This window comes from Homo sapiens, chromosome 11 (genome assembly GCF_000001405.40).
Source record: "Homo sapiens chromosome 11, GRCh38.p14 Primary Assembly".
NCBI lineage: Eukaryota > Metazoa > Chordata > Mammalia > Primates > Hominidae > Homo > Homo sapiens.
In genome coordinates, this window is record NC_000011.10 from 61,049,050 (window position 1) to 61,067,677 (window position 18,628).

General features: G+C 48.3%; 2 long non-coding RNA genes across 2 annotated transcripts in view, besides 4 other annotated features; one reads left to right on the top strand and one right to left on the bottom strand.

Moving 5' to 3' along the window:
• Nucleotides 1-18,628, bottom strand: part of LOC105369325 (uncharacterized) — a 63,496-nt gene that overhangs the window by 20,187 nt on the left and 24,681 nt on the right. The gene's annotated exons all lie outside the window — the stretch shown is intronic.
• LINC02954 (long intergenic non-protein coding RNA 2954) lies at nucleotides 6,342-18,548 on the top strand. The gene is made up of 4 exons (NR_186234.1): nucleotides 6,342-6,463; nucleotides 6,636-6,744; nucleotides 12,662-12,826; nucleotides 18,382-18,548. It is a non-coding gene; the product is annotated as a long intergenic non-protein coding RNA 2954 (long non-coding RNA).
• Nucleotides 7,681-8,181: an enhancer, noted in NCBI's record as "H3K4me1 hESC enhancer chr11:60824202-60824702 (GRCh37/hg19 assembly coordinates)". NCBI's record gives its function as "activates a minimal SCP1, AML or CMV promoter by ChIP-STARR-seq in naive and primed H9 embryonic stem cells {active_cell/tissue: H9 hESC(naive and primed)}" and the evidence as "EXISTENCE:reporter gene assay evidence [ECO:0000049][PMID:30033119]".
• Nucleotides 11,867-13,066: an enhancer, noted in NCBI's record as "P300/CBP strongly-dependent group 1 enhancer chr11:60828388-60829587 (GRCh37/hg19 assembly coordinates)". NCBI's record gives its function as "activates an origin of replication core promoter dependent on BRD2, BRD4, P300/CBP, MED14 and CDK7 cofactors, with strong dependence on P300/CBP, by STARR-seq in HCT116 cells {active_cell/tissue: HCT116}" and the evidence as "EXISTENCE:reporter gene assay evidence [ECO:0000049][PMID:35650434]".
• Nucleotides 12,132-12,371: an enhancer, noted in NCBI's record as "active region_4790". NCBI's record gives its function as "activates an Ori minimal core promoter by ATAC-STARR-seq in GM12878 lymphoblastoid cells {active_cell/tissue: GM12878}" and the evidence as "EXISTENCE:reporter gene assay evidence [ECO:0000049][PMID:35858748]".
• Nucleotides 12,722-12,961: an enhancer, noted in NCBI's record as "active region_4791". NCBI's record gives its function as "activates an Ori minimal core promoter by ATAC-STARR-seq in GM12878 lymphoblastoid cells {active_cell/tissue: GM12878}" and the evidence as "EXISTENCE:reporter gene assay evidence [ECO:0000049][PMID:35858748]".

Below are 18,628 nucleotides of genomic sequence, written 5' to 3' on the forward strand. Positions count from 1 at the left end.
CCCCCCGACCTTGCGTTAGTTACCTCATCTCCTGTCAATTTCTTATCCAGTGGAATGTAGGTAATCACGGTGCCCAGCTCACATTACTAAGTAGTTGTTTATTTCCCTGCTCTGTGTTTCAGTTTCCTCATCTCACCGGGTTGTTTTGAGTCTACATGAGCTAAGGCATGAAAAGTGCTTAGAATGGGGCCAGCAATCTTCAAATGCCGGGGACTAATAGTGATACAATTATCAAATCATTGTGACAATCTTAGCACAGTGCCTGGCATTCAGTAGGCACTTGATAAACCCTAGCTGCTGATGCTGTGTGCTCCTTACTAACTTCTAAGATTTCAAAGCCCTTTACATGTATTTTTCACACACGGACATAGCACGTTCAACTGAATTCTGTGTTCTTTGTACAACTACACAGTTTCACCACTGTGGGAAGAGGACACTTTTCTTATTTTGTAATGAAACAATGATTTGGGTGGCACATCATAAGTTTAGTTTGCTTTTCTTTGTTTTCCTTTTTAAAATTTAATTTAATTTAATACAATTTTGAAACAGGGCATCACTCTGTCTCCCAGGCTGGAGTCTAGTGGTGTGATCATGGCTCACTACAACCTCTGCCTCCTGGGTTAAGGTGATCCTCCCATCCTCAGCTTCCCGAGGAGCTGGAACTACAGGCACGCACCACCATGCCTGGCTGTTTTTTGTATTTTTTTGTATAAGTGGGGTTTTGTCATGTTGCCCAGGCTGATCTCGAACTCTGGGGCTCAAGCAATCTGCCCGCCTCGGCCTCCCAAAGTGCTGGGATTACAGGTGTGAGCCACTGCACCAGGCCTGTTTTCCCTGTTAAAGTAAATGAATTGATTGATTATCTCCCCCTTGGCTCCTCCTCATTTTAAAATGGCATGAATGGAACAACGTCCACCACAGAAGTCCACAGCCTACAGCCCCACTCTTTGTCTGCCACAAACCACTGTGTCCTGGCCCTGGCTCCCTCTGCTCCAGCTCCAAGTGACTCTGTTCCCCTCCCATTTCCTTCCCCTTCCAGTTTCCTCTGTGGCCTCCCAGGGTTGTGTCTTGTGCCAGCTCACTCGTCTTTTCTGGGCTGCTCCATCCACCCCTGCTCCCCAAAGTCTGTCATTTTTAATGCCTGTTTAATCTGAGTGGCTTTTCAGTCCTTTCCTTAGTTATGATATCAATGGCATATGGGTTTTCTACCCAACAGATAAGTTCACGGTGGACATTTTAAGCGCACAACTCTTTCCCCTTTAAATTGTGTCCTTAAAGTTAGGACATTTAAAACAAGAAACGTCATCACATTTTTTTTCCTGGTTTAAATGTAATATACAATGAAAGGAGATTGGATTATGCTATCCGCAAATATGCCACTTTGGCATAAAGATTAATTTGAGCTGAAATCAATAAGCTCTCTGCCCTCCCCCTTTCTGAAAGCAGGGATCTGTGACTCATGCCTGTAATCCCAGCACTTTGGGAGGCTGAAGCGAGAGGATCACTTAAGTCTAGGAGTTCAAGACTAGCCAAGGCAACATAGGGAGACCCCATCTATACAAAAAGTTAAAAAAATTAGCCGAGCCTGATGGTGCACGCCTGTGGTCCCAGCTACTCAAGAGGTTGAAGTGGGAGGATCGTTTGAGCCCAGGAGGTGGAGAGGTGGAGGTTGAGTGAGCTATGGTTACACCCTGCACTCCAGCCTGGGCGACAGAGCGAGACCTTCTCTAAAAAAAAAAGAAAAGTTTTCTTTGTAAAAGTAACATAAAATTCCATTTGTGAAGGTATCTCTTTCTCATACCAAGAAGAGGAGGACAACTCTTAATCACAGGTGATGTGGACCACTTTTATTAGGCAGCTTGAGTTTGCATAACAAATCTTACTCAATAACCCTTATTAAATAACCCTAACCTTCCATTAGCTCCCCCCATATATTTACCTTCCAACAATTTACTGCCCTTAGAAGTCATAACCTCCTTTTTTCTTAGTCTAGTTGCTTCTCCAAGATTTACTGCCTTTTGTTAAAATAGTATATAACCCCTTCTTTGGGTTTTCACTTCTTGCCTGTGAAACCCTCACTTGCATGTGAAATATTTTCTCCTGTTCAATCGTCTTTTAACAGTTTGATTCTCAGGCCCAAGTCACTGAACCTAAGAGGGTAGAGGAAAAGTCATTGTTGTTGCTGTTATTTTATCTCCTCTACATAGTCGTATGTGACATTTTAGAAAATCCACAAATGTCTAAAGGAAAACTTTAATCACTAATAAATAACCTACCTACCCCTGAGACAATGAAGCTCCATCGAGGCACCTTTTCTTCTAGCCTCCCACCCCCTTCTGCACAGACACAGAGGAAGTGTGAGCTGATAGAACAGCACAGAGAGCAGGGGCCTGGAGGTGCAAAGACCCTGGCTACTTCACCTCCGAGCCATGCAACCTTGGGCAATCATTGAACCTTCCTCAGCCTCGTTTCCTCATCTGTGAAATGGGGAGAAGATGAGGATCTGCCTCACAAGGTTGCTGGAGGACTCTAAGACACAGCAAGGGCTGGCTACACAACTGGCATGTGGTCAGTGCCCACTGGGTCATAACTACTTAAATATAAACTGTCAGTACAGAAATATCAGTAATCAATATTTTATAAAATAGAATTATAATATATTTAAACATGACATATTTAACATTTTATACATTAAAAATGTAAAGTTATAAATTACAAATTAAAATATATAGGCCAAGGTGAGAGGATCCCTTGAAGCTAGGAGTTTGAGACCAGCCTGAGCAAAAAAAAAAAAAAAAAAGGAAAAAAATAATAAAATATACGATGTATCAGTGATTACACTGTAAACTACACAGGCAGCTTGCTAGCTGCACTTTATACACTATCAATAGCGTTTCCCATCATTACAAGCTGCTACATCATTTTTAATGGCTGCCCAGACCTCATTTCACAGTGTCTTTGATTTTTAACAGGACCAGCTGCTAATTTGGGTGCCATAATAGCACAGCTAGGATAGGAGAATCATTGAGATTCCCTGTTCCAAAAAAGCCATCTCCAGCCCACACTCCCTTCGGCTTCATTAATGCCTCTGTAGAAGTGGCTTCCTGAGCACTTGGCCTTTGATTTATAATCACCAGCTAAAACCAACAAACCAGCTCTGGAGGAATCAAACAGGGAGCATTTCAACTCCAAGTGCCTGGACAGAACTGTTGCATTCTCTCCCAGGCCCTGCAGGCACCTGCACTTGCCATTTCCTGGGGCTCGGGAAGGAATCCAGAAAAGTGAGAGGCTTTTATACTCCGAGCAGGTCACAGTGAAACCACCGGATCCCTGGAGCCTGGGCTCTAATCCCAGGGAGCTTTCCCTTCTCTTTCAGGCAGTTGAAACATACTTAGCAGGTACGAGGGCAGGTGTCCCACCCCATTCCACAGGTTTGGACACACAAGTTCAGAAAGGAGGAGAGCCTGGGCCAGTGTCACATGGACAGCGACAGGGCCAGGGTCCCTCCAGGTCTGGCTGAGTCCCTGTCCAATGCCCTCCCCGACCCATGTTGCTTCCCAGGAAAGATGAGCATCCTCTTGAGACAGGAGCTCAGAGCAGCTGATGGCTGGAGGTCAAGGGTACAGGACTCCCCGTCACACCCACACTTCCCTTCCTGACCAGGGACTCACCCGGCTAGACAGCCCAACACCAGCACAGACCAACCTGTACCCCATGCTGGGCTGTTCATCATCTTGGGGTAGCTCCGGGCAGGTCCTCGTCTGCAGTTCCCACCCAGACCTGCCTCTCTGGAGCAGGCCTTCCAAACCAAGGGGGACAAGGCAAGCTCTGACCTCACCATCCCGCCACAACCACAGTGAGCGTGGACCCACAGATGGGGGCTCCCGCCTTGCCCCCATCTCCCAACCATGGCCTGAACTCTGCACCCTGGAGCAGTCCTGCCCTGGGGGCTGGAGACCTGGGGCAGCAGGTGGAGAAAGTGGATGTCCTAGCACTGCTATGAGCAATCAGTCCCCAGAACAGCCTGCACTGTCTCCCCAACACTGTGGAAGAGAGAACGGAGAGCAGAAAACACAGTCTATATGCCTGGGAGCGGCTTGTTTCTGGGTCTAGTCTCTCAGCATCTGGGAGCTTTCTTTAATTAACACTGAAGAGCAGTGTTCAGTGTGTTCCTGGCTCTCCTACCTGGGGGAATCGGGTTAAGCCCAAACCACACATCATGGTCCTCTTTCCCGCTGCAGGAAGTGAGCCCCTGTCTCTTGAGAGATAGTGAGCCACTATTCAATTTAAATTGATTTCCTGGCCTCAGCAGCCTCAGAAAGTTCTTCGTGGCTGGTGGCTGCCCCTCTGTGGGAAAGCTGCAGTAGCAAAAGGATAGGGATTCTCAAAAGCAAATGGGGCCAGGTGCGGTGGCGCATGCCTATAATCCCAGCCCTTTGGGAGGCTAAGGCAGGTGGATTGCTTGAGCCCAGGAATTTGAGATCAGCCTGGGCAACATGATGAAACCCCGTCTCTATTTCAAAAATACAAAAATTAGCCAGGTGTGGTGGTGTGCACCTGTAGTCCCAGTTACCTGGGAGGCTGAGGTGGGAGGATCCCTCGAGCCTGGGAGGCCGAGGGTGCAGTGAGCAGAGATTGTGCCACTGCACTCCACTCTGGGTAACAGAGCAACAAGACCTTCTCTCAAAACAAAACAAAAACAAAAACAAAACAAACCAACCAAAAAAAAGCAAATGGGAAAAAAAACGGGTGCTCAGACTCGTAGCTGAAGCCAAGGGTTATCAGGGACCATGGATGGGTTTGGAATTGAGTTGACGGGGTTCGAGTCTGGCTCTGAAACTTTGTGGCAGGTTAAACAGCAAGGAATTTCAGCTTTCGAGTGGGGACAGTAATAATCCTCAGAACTCAAGTTTGTCCAGCTGCAAAACGGCACAATAACAGGAAGGGAACCTGGTGGCAAAACTAAAAACAACCAAAATGTCCAGCAACTGGTGAATGGAAAAACAAAAACAGTATATCCATGCAATTAAATAATACCCAGCAGGGGAAAAGAACACACATGCCTACCTGCTACAGCATGGATGGACCTCAAAGACAGTATGTGGATGGACCTCAAAGACAGTATGCGAAGTAAAAAAAGCCCCACACGAAAGACCACATATTGCATAATTCCATTTATCTGAAGGCAAAACTACAAAGACACGAAGTAGATTGATGGTCACCTTAATCTGGGGTGGAAGTGAAGAGTGACTGCAGATGGGTACCAGGGGATCTTTTTACAGTGATAGAAACATTATAAAATTGGGCAGGGCGAAGTGGCTCACGCCTGTAATCCCAGCTTGTTGGGAGGCTAAGGCGGGTGGATCACCTGAGGTCAGGAGTTCGAGACCAGCCTGGCCAACATAGTGAAACCCCATCTCTACTAAAAATACAAAAATAGCCAGGCCTGGTGGCACTCGCCTGTGATCCCAGCTACTCAGGAGGCTGAGGCATGAGAATCGCTTGAACCCAGGAGACAGAGGTTGCAGTGAGCCACGATTGTACCACTGCACTCAAGCCCAGGCAACAGAGCCGACTCTGTCTCAAAAAAACAAGAAAAAAAATTATAAAATTGGACTGTGGTTGCACAGCTTCATAACATTACTAAACAGAATTAAACTTTTAGTTTCAACCAAAACAAGTGAAGTCACCTGCAGTCCCATCTACCTGGGAGGCCAAGGTGAGAAGATCACTTGAGATCAGAAGTCTGAGTCCAGCCTGGGCAACATAGTGAGGCCCCATTTCTTTTTAAAAAGTGAATTTTACAGTATATAAATAATACTTCAACAAAGCTGTTTTTAAAAAGTGGCTGGCACATAGTGTAAGGATCAGTTCAGTTACCATATAGGAGAGTGTTTTTGAAAATTGTCGTGTGCTATGGAGAGGCCAGCCCTAGTGATTCATAAGGCTATAGCGGAGAGTGGGTGTGACCGCACTACCAGAACTGGAATCAACACGGAACTCCAGAACTTACTAGCTGGGACCGTGGGCAAGTTCCCTAACGACTCTGGGCCTCTGCCTCTTCATCTCTACCATGGAGATGGTAACAGTTTCAGCCTCACGGGGCTGATGTGAAGATTAAATGAGTTAACACGAGCAAGCCGCTGAGGACAGCCTTGCACATGGTCACGCACTGAGTAAACGGCAGCTCTTGTTCTCATCCTCATCCTCACTCTTCTATCCCAGCAGCGCAGTGGGGGACCCCAAGATCAAGAGCAGGGCTAGAGACACATTCTGTTCATCACAATGTCCCTTCTGAGGTTCACGCCATTCATCACAGTTCCTTGGGCTTCGGATTAGATGTGGTCATCTGTCCTGAACCTCCTCACGGCCCCACAGGCCCAGAGCTGGGCTCTGCCCATCATGGGGCTGCTTCCTGTTCCCCAAACACTGGCCACAATGTGAGGTCAGCCCAAAGGCGTAGGTGAGGAAGAGTGGGGTCCCTGGGACAGGAAGACAGGGTGACAGGAGTGGGCCAGCTCCAAGGTCAGAGAGAAGCCACAGGCTGAGCATCTCAGAGCCCCCAGTGCCTAGTACAAAGAAGCATAAGAAGGCTGGCTCACTCTCATTGAGCCCTATATCGTCCCCTGCATTAGAGCCAAGAAAACTCAGCCTCCAAGACACGGAACATATTTTCCTGGGTCAGAAGCAGCAGTCAAACCTGGTCTATTTATGCCGAAGCCCAAGTGCAGGTGCTCAGAGGAGGTATGTTAAGGTGGGAGATATGATAAGGTGGGGCAGGAGGCTGGGGATAAATGAGGGAGGGAGGGAATAGGGGCTCAGCTCTACCTCTGCACCCGCCACACATACACTGGGCTTACCTCTCCTCTCAACAAACACACTCTAGATAACACTTCCTCCAAGGGCATTTGTGAAAATGCAGGTTCCTGGGCCCCACTCCGAACCAACTGAGTGGAACCTCTGGCCTAGAAACAGGAAACCTGCATTTTTTAAGTGTCCCCCCGGTAATTCTTAAGCAATTTTAAGCCGGGCGCGGTGGCTCATGCCTATAATCCCAGCACTTATTGGGAGGCCGAGGCAGGTGGATAGCTTGAGCCCAAGAGTTCGAGACCACCCTGGCCAACATAGTGAGAACCCCCCATCTCTATTTAAACAACAAAAAAAAAGAAATTTGAGAACAACTGCCCCCAAATAAGGTGGGAAAATAGCTGCAAAAATAGAAAAAGTTCCATCAGAAGAGATCATCAGTTTATCCTGTCAAAGAATCACAAAAAATGAGAAGGCCCCAGCCTGCCACAAAGGCTTTTGGCATTTATCATTGTGAACAAATGGGGATTTTTAAATTTTGAGACCTCAAAGTGTGTTGATGAGCAAAAGCCTCACACTGAATTCTCACAGCAACGTGGTGGCCTCACACCTGTCCCCATATACAGAGGGAGAAACTGAGGCCTGGAGAAGGGAAGGCCCAGAGCCGCCTACATGAAGCTGGTCACTACACCATTGCCTGCAAGTTCAGGTGGATGCAGACCTCAGAGCTCCATCCTGAAGCCCCCAAAGGTGCTTTTCTTCATCTAGTCAATGCTCCACTGCACCTAGCCATGACCAAAGTGTAAATCCCAAACCGGGGGTAACCCGGTGACACTCATTTGTCAGCAGGTGCTGCCCCAAGTGACCAGCCGGATGGATTGCTCACTGTGACTTTATGCCTGCAGGGCCCTTAATGGTTTACAAAGGGCTTTTCCAGCACTGCCCGATTTGCTCACAATGATAATTAGTCGTCACAGTAACAAATGGGTCTGCAAATGAGGATCAGACCCAGATAGGGGGTTGAGCTCTGGCGCACTGCCTGGAACCCTGGTGCTCAACCCTAGTGGAGCTGCAGAAACTGCTGAGGTCTGTGCCTACCCCAGAATCCTGACTTAGCCTGGAGTGCTGCCTGCACAAAAGGATTTCTTATTTGAAGCTCCCCAGGAGATGCTGAACAGCCCCAAAGGAAGCCAGGCTGGATTTCAGGCTCCTCTGCCATGGAGCTGCAGCTTGGTTAGGGTCCGGGTGCTTCTCCCTGGATTACCTGGAGAACACCCATCGCCCCGTGTCCCTGGCAGGCTCACCGGCTCAGCCTTCCTTGACCCCCAGCCCCCTGGCTGTACCTTACCAGCCCCTGCAGTTCCTGGGAAACAGGTCTTACCCAGATCCCAGAGTGCGCCTCAGCCCACCTGTCACCTTCCCACTCTAGAAACTCAACTCCAAACCCACCTCCTCCATGAAACAAGCGAGGAGTCACAAACATCCCCAGTGCCACCCCTCTGAGTTCCACAGGCCTGGCTCGGGCACCAGCATCTCAAGCATGTGGGCCGAGGCCCGGCTTCCTGCCCTGGGAGCTGGTCAGGCCATTGCTCATCCTCAGGGAGGTGTCAGTGCTGGTAGAGGCTGCAGATTGCCTCAAATGTTTTAGAATGTGACGTTTCCCCCAGGGGCCCAAGGTTAACCGATTCCAAGCACTCAACAGCACTAAGAGTGCATTCTCTCAGTGCATCCTCAAACTAAGGCTATGAAGCAGCTGTTGTTACTACCTCCATTTCACAGGCATGGAAAATGACGCTCAGAGAGGTTAAGTAACTCAGGCGGGTAAGTGGCAGGGCCAGGATTCGAACTCAAGTCAGACGGACACCGCAGTCCACGCTCCTTTTTACAGCCACACTGCTCCACCTACCTTGCCGTCCTTCTCACAAGAAGACACAGGAGGAAAGAGTCTCAGATCAGGAGTCGGAGCTGCACAGCCGTGCACTAGGCGTGTTGCCTCAGGAGGCCAGGAAAACGGCTGAGTCCCGCCTATGGTTTGGGCTGAGGCCCATAGTGTGGCCTGTGATTTATCCCCCAAGCAGGACACTTTGAAGAGTAAAAGAGGCTTTTAAGCTATTAATAATGATGATAGGACAGTGTTGGTCAGGACTGTCCCAGGCAAGCAGGATATGGGGTCACCCAACATGGAGTTGAAGTTAGCTAAACTCTCGGAACCTCGATCTCCTTATATTTAAAGTGAAGATATCATGAGCACCCACTAAAATAATTTGTGAGACCACACTAAACTATAAAACCTTACATCCAAATGTAGGTGTTTTGTTTTGTTTTTTAATTTACAACAACAAACAAGACTGGGTGAACTCATTCATGGTCTAACTTGACCTTGGGCAAGTTATTTTCTTTTTTTTTTTTTTTTTTTGAGACGGAGTCTCGCTCTGTCACCCAGGCTGGAGTGTAGTAGCGTGATCTCGGCTCACTGCAAGCTCCGCCTCCTGGGTTCATGCCATTCTCCTGCCTCAGCCTCCCAAGTAGCTGGGACTACAGGCGCCCGCCACCACCATGCCCGGCTAATTTTTTTTGCATTTTTAGTAGAGACGGGGTTTCACCGTGTTAGCCAGGATGGTCTCGATCTCCTGACCTCGTGATCTGCCCGCCTCGGCCTCCCAAAGTGCTGGGATTACAGGCGTGAGCCACCGCGCCCAGCCGGGCAAGTTACTTTCACCCTCAGGACCTCAGCAAAGTAACTGGTGGTGTGATGAAGGGGTCTGCCCGCATTTGAGTTGTAAACTGACAGCAGGTGGGCCACATTTTCTCTATATGACAAGTTTTGTTCGGTCAGTAGAGTGTTGACGTTCTTGAATTTGAATGCCACGGCCCTGCCACACCCTGTTGGCTTGTACCTGGCCTGGCCTGATCACAGGGTATAGACATCTGCCTGACCCCTGTAGGTGCCTAGGTTTGCAGCCCCTGGAATAGACACATTCGAAAGCCCCTTCTCATCCTGACATCCTAGGAGTCTTCCTAGCACTGGTAAGTACCCCGACTGAAGGTGTATAGGTAGATTAGTTGCAACGGATGTTCCACATTAACCTCTTAGATGAGTAACGTTCAACATTAATCAAAACACAAGAAAATCTCCTCCTACGCAATACCAAAGTCTTAATTCAACAGTCAGTCAGGAGAAATAGAGTCGCAGAATCAAAGGGTCGTCACAGCCGGGTGCAGTGGCTCATGCCTGCAATCCAAGCACTTTGGGAGACTGAGGCGGGAGGATTGCTTCAGACAAGGAGTTCGAGGCCAGCCTGGGCAACATAGTGAGACCCTTTCTTCTAATAAAAAAAAAGAAAGAAAGAAAGAATAAAAGACACTCAGTTGGGGTTTTGGTTTTCCACAAGTTGAGGTTGCCAACCTCATCAGATTAACCTCGAACCCTGACAACTAAGGAAAGAGAGTGGAGGAAGCAAAGAGCCTCTGCCACCTGTGTGAGCCTCAGATTCCTCCTCCATAAACCCGAGAGACTGATGTGTACCTGGCTGCATTGAGAGGGCTGCGTGAGCTCCACCGGGCACAGAGTCCAGCAGGCAGAAATGCTCAGTAAACAGAGCCCTACCATCCACTCTGCTCTCGTCCACCGCAGTAGGCAGCCTTAAAATGGGGTCACTCTGCATAAAGAACAAATACTTGTCAGCAGCTCCACCCTGCCATCTTTCTTGTGCTCAGCTTCTTGGAGAGGCAATGTGGTACGCTTTGAAGGAGCACTACATTTGGAGTTTTGATGACTTGCATTTGAATCTTGGCTGTGCCTTTCGTGGCAGTGCATCCTCCAATGACCTCCTTGACCTTTCTGGGTCTGTTTGTACATCTGCTAAAAGGGGATCATGATGACCTCTGCCCTGCCCACTTCACAGATCCTCATCCTATCCATTGATAACCCCACCTGTGAGATCCTGTAGTAGCTGATGTACATGTTAACCGTCATTATCAGTTGAGAAACTTCTCAACTAGGACCAAGCCCTTCACATCTACTCCTGTTTCTGCCACTGAAGCAAATTAAAAAATAATATATATATATATATATATATATATATATCACCTTGGACCTTTTATTTTCTAGCAAGGATTATCCATAGTTATTATCTACACAGGGTGGCTGGTCCCAGGGGTGTGATTCCCATTTGGGGTAATAAGTAAATGCTCTTCGTAGCAACTGCATATGAGGTGAACAAATACAGCATGCCAATAGCGGGACCCTATCGACAGATGAAGCCAGGATTCCAGCACTTACTCCCAGAGCCAGTTCTTCATTATTCAAGATACAAGATCAAGGCTGGGTCCAGGTTCTGTTGAGCCTGAAGCCTATACAATTTGGGGGTCCCTCTTTAAAAAATATGATAATACACAAATAAAATTAGATAAAGGGTGCCTGTAATCCCAGCACTTTGGGAGGCCAAGGCGGGTGAATCACTTGAGGTCAGGAGTTTTAGACCAGCCTGGCCAACATGGTGAAACCCTGTCTCTACTAAAAATACAAAAATAAGCCAGACATGGTGGTAGACGCCTATAATTCCAGCTATTCAGGAGGCTGAGGCACAAGAATCTCTTGAACCCGGGAGGCGGAGGTTGCAATGAGCCAAGACCATACCACTGCACTCCAGCCTGGGCGACAGAGCTAGACTCCATCTCAAAAAAAAAAAAAAAAAAAAGATAAATGGCCTTGGGAGGGTCCTAAGACTGACCTTCTCCAGCCTTGTGGTCAGTCTGTCTGGACCTGTCTGCACATCATCCCTTTAATTATTTCCCAAAAGCTCTACATCACAAACGCATTATTGAAGATGAAGAAACGGGGCTCAGAGAGGTAGAGGAATTTGTCCAACCCAGTTGTCCAGGAAAGACCAGGCACAGTGGACTCCAAATCCCATATTCTTCCAGCCACAACATGCATTTCTTGAATAAATGCTAAAAGATGTGGTGGGTAATTGGTATTGATGAATGGAACACAAATTTGGGGCAAGTTTCAGGTTCACCCTATCCACACCCTACCCGACTCCCACCAGAACTCCTGAATATCACAAACATCCTTCCAGGACCCCACACACAAAAAGTCCCAGGTTATAACCATATTAGAGTAATGGAAAATGAGAAAATGGAAAAAACCTCCATCATTCCCAGCAAAGACTCAACAGGGCCCTCATGAAGCTCCACCTTGTTCCCACTGAGGCAGCTTCCGGCAAGTGCCTGTTTGTACAACCAGCGAGAAACACAGCTCTTGCTGATCTTAATTCTTACCCCCACTCGTTCAGTTCTCTTATGATGACAGGCACCTCAATTCAGTTTCGCAGCATCCCAAAACGTGCCGGAGTAGGCTGGGTGAGACTCTCGGGGCTCAAAGTCTATCATTACATCTTGGTTGCGACCACAGAGGGTTTTTTTTTTTCTTTTAAACACCAGCTCAAGGGCAGAAGAATTAGTCAGGGCACAGATCTTCCGGATCGCTACTGTATGGGGACCATAACATCACTGTAAGGCCCCTGTGCTGAGCCACAAACCCCACTTGGAACAAAGAAAACTCCCAGGTACTTTACCAGACACCAATTGCGCCATCCTGTTTGGGACACAGTCATTTGGCACTCCAGGTTCTCAACCCATAGTAATAACGCCTCATGCTTTTGAAACTGAAAAATGCATCCAAAAAAATCTCAGTGACACATCATGACTCATGTCCCATCCCCACCCCCACTCCCACCTCCCTCCCGCCCCACCCTAGGGAGGGGGGCTCGTCCTTTTCATTCACCCCTGATGTGAAACCAGGTTGGTCAGTGCCTGTCAATTTCACTTCCTGTTTCCTTGCTTCCATCAGAGAGCAGAGCTGTGAGGAGGGATAGATATTATGCTGTGGTGCAGCCAGACAAGCCCCACCTTGTTGTGCCTCCAGAAGAAGCACATTCTTGGCCTGGGTGGTAACAATAACATCTGGATGGAAATATCAAGTGGTATCAGGCTTCCAGACCACCATTCATGAAAGGTGCATCCACTTAGTAAGCCTCTATGGAGGCCTCTTCTGGGCCAAGTGTTTGTTCGAAGTTGTGTATGGACAGAAAGATATTCCTCCTCTCAAGGTGCCCACAGTCCAGGGCGTACTGAGAAGCCAACAGATAATGCAGTGAGATGGCTGTGGGGATTGGGGTGTTACAGAATTGGGGTGGGGTGGGGACAGCCTGCTTTCAAGGAGTCTAGGCAGGCATCTCAGAGGTGACAGCCAAGACTAGATGGAGGACAATAATAAGGATGATGACGATGATGACACTGATGAACAATATGTGCAGCGTTTTCTAACACTTTGCATTTGTTAACTCACGTATTCTTCCCAGTCACCCTTATTCCCACTTCATAGAGGAGGGAACTGAGGCATCAGGATGGTGAGTAACTGGCCCAAAGTCACATAGCTGTTACAAGCACTATATGAGGACAAGCTGACCTGCCAAAGACAGCGTAGGGATCAGGACGGAGAAAGTCACAGAGAGGAAAGGGCATGGCATTTATGGAGAGCTGCCAACATCTTGGGGCCACACAGCAAAGGGCAAAAGTGGTCCCAACATGTGGGTGTGTGGCCCACAGACACGCTTTGTTGATGGCCCATATAGTGTTTTAAGATATATATATAAACCAACGCTTGAAAATTAGGCTATTTCATATAAAAACTCAGATTCCCAAAATTATGTTGAACAATCAGGATCTGGAAACATGGAGGCCATATTCTTCCATGGCAATAATCAGAGTTGGGTTGGTTCTCTTTAGATGGGGTGTAGCCTTCACCCTGTTTCCGTACAGCCACTTCCACTGCCTGATGTCCCCTTCATCCAGTCCCATTAATCCACCAACGTGACCTGCCTGGTGTGTGTGAGACAGGGCAGAGTCAGGGCACAGAGCTACAGAACTTGGACTGAAGCGTTTCCAGTAAGAGGAGGGCAGTGGTGATGCAGCCAGACTCCTACTGCGTGGAGATGAGTCCAGCAGCTCCCTGGAAGAGGGACTGCATGGAGCATAAGACTGCAGCAGGGAAGAGGAGGAGAGGATAAAGTACTGTTCATGCAGGATCAGAACCGGGGCAAGTGTGAAGAGGTCCCTCTACTGAACTTCTACGGAGGTTGATTTTACCGGAAATCTTTTCTCTATTTTCTCCCTGGGGCTCAGGATATAAGCTATACTTAGCAAGCAGTACTTTTTCATATGGAAGACTAAGATTCGCAGAGACCCTGCCAAGGCAACTTACATAGAGCCAAAGGAGAAAAATTAGGCAGATGCTCTCGGGGGAGTTAATTTTAAGGCATTACAGCATTTAATACACAGATTCCACTTCAGTGTTAAACCAAACCAGTCGCAGAGGCTTAAAAAACAGTGGCCAGGTCAACCACTTCACTTTACTCCCAGCCCCCAAAACCTCTCCTGCCCACCATGTTTTCAACTTGAAGCCACACTGAACCATGGAGCACTGTTAGGAAGGCTGGAGGTGGGCAGAGGGGACAGCCCGAGATCATGGTGCCACGAGAAGCTTCCCTCCAGTTGGGGAGATGGGGCCAAGCCCCATGGACCACGAGTGAGAAAGACACATCATGTTTCTATTTCACGTGTGCCATTCACGTGCTTAGTTCTGGGACGCTGCAGAGAAGCAGCAGTTACAGACCTGCTGATGGTGTGGTCAGGAAAGAAGCAGGAAAAGGGTGGGGCACGGTGGTGGCTCACGCCTGTAATCCCAGCACTTTGGGAGGCCGAGGCAGGCGGGTCACCTGAGGTCAGGAGTTCAAGACCACCTGGCCAACATGGTGAAACCCTGTCTCTACAAAAATAAAAAATTAGCTAGGCATGATGGCGGGCGCCTGTAGTCCCAGCTACTCGGGAGGCTGAGTCAAGAGAATTGCTTGAATCCGGGAGGCGAAGGTTGCAGTGAGCCGAGATCACGCCACTGCACTCTAGCCTGGGCAACTGATCGAGACTCTGTCTCAAAAAAAAAAAAAAAAAAGCAGGAAAGTAATTTGACAACTAGGAGATCTATGACAACACTTCACTCAGCTGTGGAAAGGTCTTGGGTGTTAGGGTCACATTTGACAATTCTGCCTGTTTGCTGTGTGGCACTGATGCCTGGCTGAGCTTCTCTGTGTCTGTCTCCTCATCTTTTAAATGAGAGCGCTTTGTACACTGGGAAGTGACCTGTGGATGTGAGAGGCCCTGTTGCTATGTGTCCTCTTCATCATTGCTTGCCTATTTTACTATATTTTTTTTTTTGAGACGGAGTCTCGTTCTATTGCCCAAGCTAGAGTACAGTGGCGTGATCTCTGCTCACTGCAACATTCGCCTCCCAGGTTCAAGTGATTCTCCAGCCTCAGCCTCCTGAGTAGCTGGGACTATAGGCACGTGCCACCACATCCAGCCAATTTTTGTAGTTTTAGTAGAGACAGGGTTTTACCATGTTGGCTAGGCTGGCCTCAAACTCCTGACTTCAGGTGATCTGCCTGCCTCGGCCTCCCAAAGTGCTGGGATTACAGGTGTGAGCCACCGCGCCTGGCCACTTGCCTGTTTTTCAATCCAGGGCTGGTCCCCCGGCTGGAAGTCTGCAGAGAGGGTCGAGCCCTCCATCTTTCCTTCTCTCCCTTCCCAAAGTTTCCCAGCTCTGCTGCTATCCCAGGACCCTTTCTTAGGCTATAAAATCCACACGAAGGTGCTATTCAAAAAGATTCCCGCATTTCCTACTTTGAAAGGGCACCCTAAGGAGTGACTAACAGTGATATTTCAGGAGGCACTGGGTGGTCGTGTCTTGAGCGCTCAGATTCTACCCCATGAGCATCTACATTCAATCAAGCCAGAGACCAAGATAAAAGCTAAAAAACCCAACCAAGTTTCCAGGTTTTCATAGTGGTTGGCTCCATGTAGACTGGAATTAGCAAACAGGTTTCAATCCATGTACCAGATCTGATGGTATGAAACACTGATTATGGCCGGACACTGTGGCTCATACCTGTAATCCCAGTACTTTGGGAGGCCAAGGCAGGAGAACTGCTTGAGCCGAGGAGTTTGAGACCAACCTGGGCAACATAGCGAGACCCCGTCTCTACAAAAAAAAATAATAATAATAATAATTAGCTGGACATGGTGGTGTGTGCCTGGGGTGCCAACTACTCGGGAGGATGAGGTGGGAAGATCACTTGAGCCTGGAAGGTTCAGACTGCAGTGAGCTATTATTGTGCCACTGCACTCCAGCCAGAGCAACAGAGTGAGACCTTGTCTCGAAAAAAAAAAAAAAAAAAAGAAAGCAAGAAAGAAAAGAAAAAGAAACACCGATTATGCAGAGAATCAGTCTGAGCCGCGTCTGAACTCAGCAGACACGCATACTATGATGGAGTAGAGATGCTGTCGGGAGCACACAGAGCAGTCATATGCGTGTTGCATATTTGTTACTGTGTAGACAAAACACCTAGGCCAGGGTTGTCCAAGCTTTTGGCTTCCGTGGGCCACACTGGGAGAATTATCTTGGGCCACGCATGAAATACACTGACACGGCAGGGCGCGGTGGCTCATGCTTGTAATCCCAGCACTTTGGGAGGCCAAAGCGGGCGGATCACCTGAGGTCAGGAGTTCAACACCAGCCTAGCCAACATGCAGCCTGGCCGTCTCAACTGAAAATACAAAAAGTAGCTGGGCATGATGGCTGGCGTCTGTAATCCCAGCTACTCGGGAGGCTGAGGCCGGAGAATCCCTTGAACCCAGGAGGCAGAGGTTGCAGTGAGCTGAGATCACGCCACTGCACTCCAGTCTGGCGACAAGAGTGAGATTCCATCTCAAAACAAAACAAAACAAAAAGAAAAGAAAAAAGAAATATACTGACACTAACGATGGCTGATAAGCTAAAAATTCACACACACAAAAATCTCGTAATGTTTTAAGAAAGTTTACAAATTTGTGTTGGGCCACACTCAAAGCCGTCCTGGGATGCGGGTTGGACAAACTTGACCTAGACATTCTGCCTCTCTTCACTTGGGCCCCCCCAGATGTCTGGCCTGCGTAGACCAGCCTCAGTGCACGCAGCTGGAAGGTGCAGTGCCTGTCGGAGGCACCCGTTTCCCCACCAAGGGCCTCATGTTCGCATGCCCACTCCACGTTCACTCCATCATCCATCTCACTCCGTTTTCTATTGAAAGCACCCTGTCACCTTTCGCGTTTCCAACTCAGGAAACAGCAACCACGGAACAGAAGAAAAATCAAGATCCCATTTGCCTTGATGGATTCATTTCGATACAACTTCACTCAAGAGCTCGCCGCTTCCTGATTTCACATTTCACCATCAAAGACGAGGGCCGGGGCAGAGCTGGGGGATGTGGCCCAATCGGCAACATGCGTGGCTGAGCAACAGGTTTCTGCCAGGAGAGGCAACTCTGGGACCGCAGCTTCGGGATCCATTGGCCCATCCCAACAGCTAACAGAGGCAGAACATTCTGGAACATCACCCACCTGTCCCATCCTACAGGCTCCCAAGCCAACTGTGGCAAAGGTGAACCAAAGCCCTGAAAGAACTCGAAGTGAGACAAAGCCAGGCTCTCTGTGCTGAGGGAAGCAAGGCCCAGAGAGGGCAGTGGTGTGGCCACTGTCACACAGCGGGGCTCTGGGTCCAGTCCCTCTCTCTGATTTGGGCACCTCCCCCCTGCAGCAAGCATTGATGACTTCAGGTTACACGATACAGGAATGTCTCCATCCCTTTCCCCAAGGTAAGGAAAGGGCTCACATCAGTTAATTGCTCAAGCAACCCCAGAACCAGGATTATAACAAGGTGGTGCTCTGCCACGGGGCTGATAGAGAGGACAGGCCCTGGCCAGAGCAGGGGTGGGGCAGGGACTGCGGACCAGAGGTCCTCCCCAGAGCTTTTCATGAGCAACTACTAGGCCCTCGATAGAGAAGCCCAGCATGACCGAGAGGCAGTCTATGAATATGGTGACAATGCCACACTGTGAGGATAGAACCCAGCCCCGGCTAAAGCCCACTGAAAGTAAGAGCAATAATGCAATTCATTCATTCATTCATTCATTCATTCATTCGACAAAGTCCGTGCCAGGCTCTGTGGCTACAATCCTGAAAAAGACACAGTATCTACGTCTTCAGGTTGCTTAAGTAAAATCATTAGCACTAAAAAAATGTGGTATTCATACAATAAAGCACAACACAGCAACTAAAAAGCAGGAACTCCTGCTACACTCAAACACGGATGAATTTCATGGGTATAATGAGGAGCTGAAGAGGCCAGGCACAGAAGAGTCCATACGCTGCAATTCAAAACACTACTTACGGAAAGCTGGAGAACAGACCCATAGTGAGAGACCAGAACAGTGCTTAGCTCTTGGTGGGAGGGGGCGGCTGATAGGAGAGGCTCTAGGGAACCTTAATGGGGGATGAAAATGTTCTAGATCTTGAGCTGGGTGGAGGTTACACGGTGTATGTGTGTGTGGGTGTGTGGGCGTGTGTGTGCATGCAATATATATAAAAAAAGTTTTACATTTTTAAAAATCATTAACAGTGTTTACACTTCTTTTTCAGAGCTAACCTTACATATGCTTGATCAAATGACGAAAAGCTTCAGCCAGAAACAGTTTTGCCTGGGTTCTGAATCTTCCCTGAGCTCTTAAATTCTACCCAGTGAGCATCTAGGTTAAAACCTGGATAAAACCTGGATAAAAGATTAAAAAACTCAACCAAGTTTCCAAGTTCTTGTACTGCTTGGCTCTGTGTAGATCCGAGTTAACAAACAGGTTTCAATCCACATACCAGATCTGATGGTATGAAG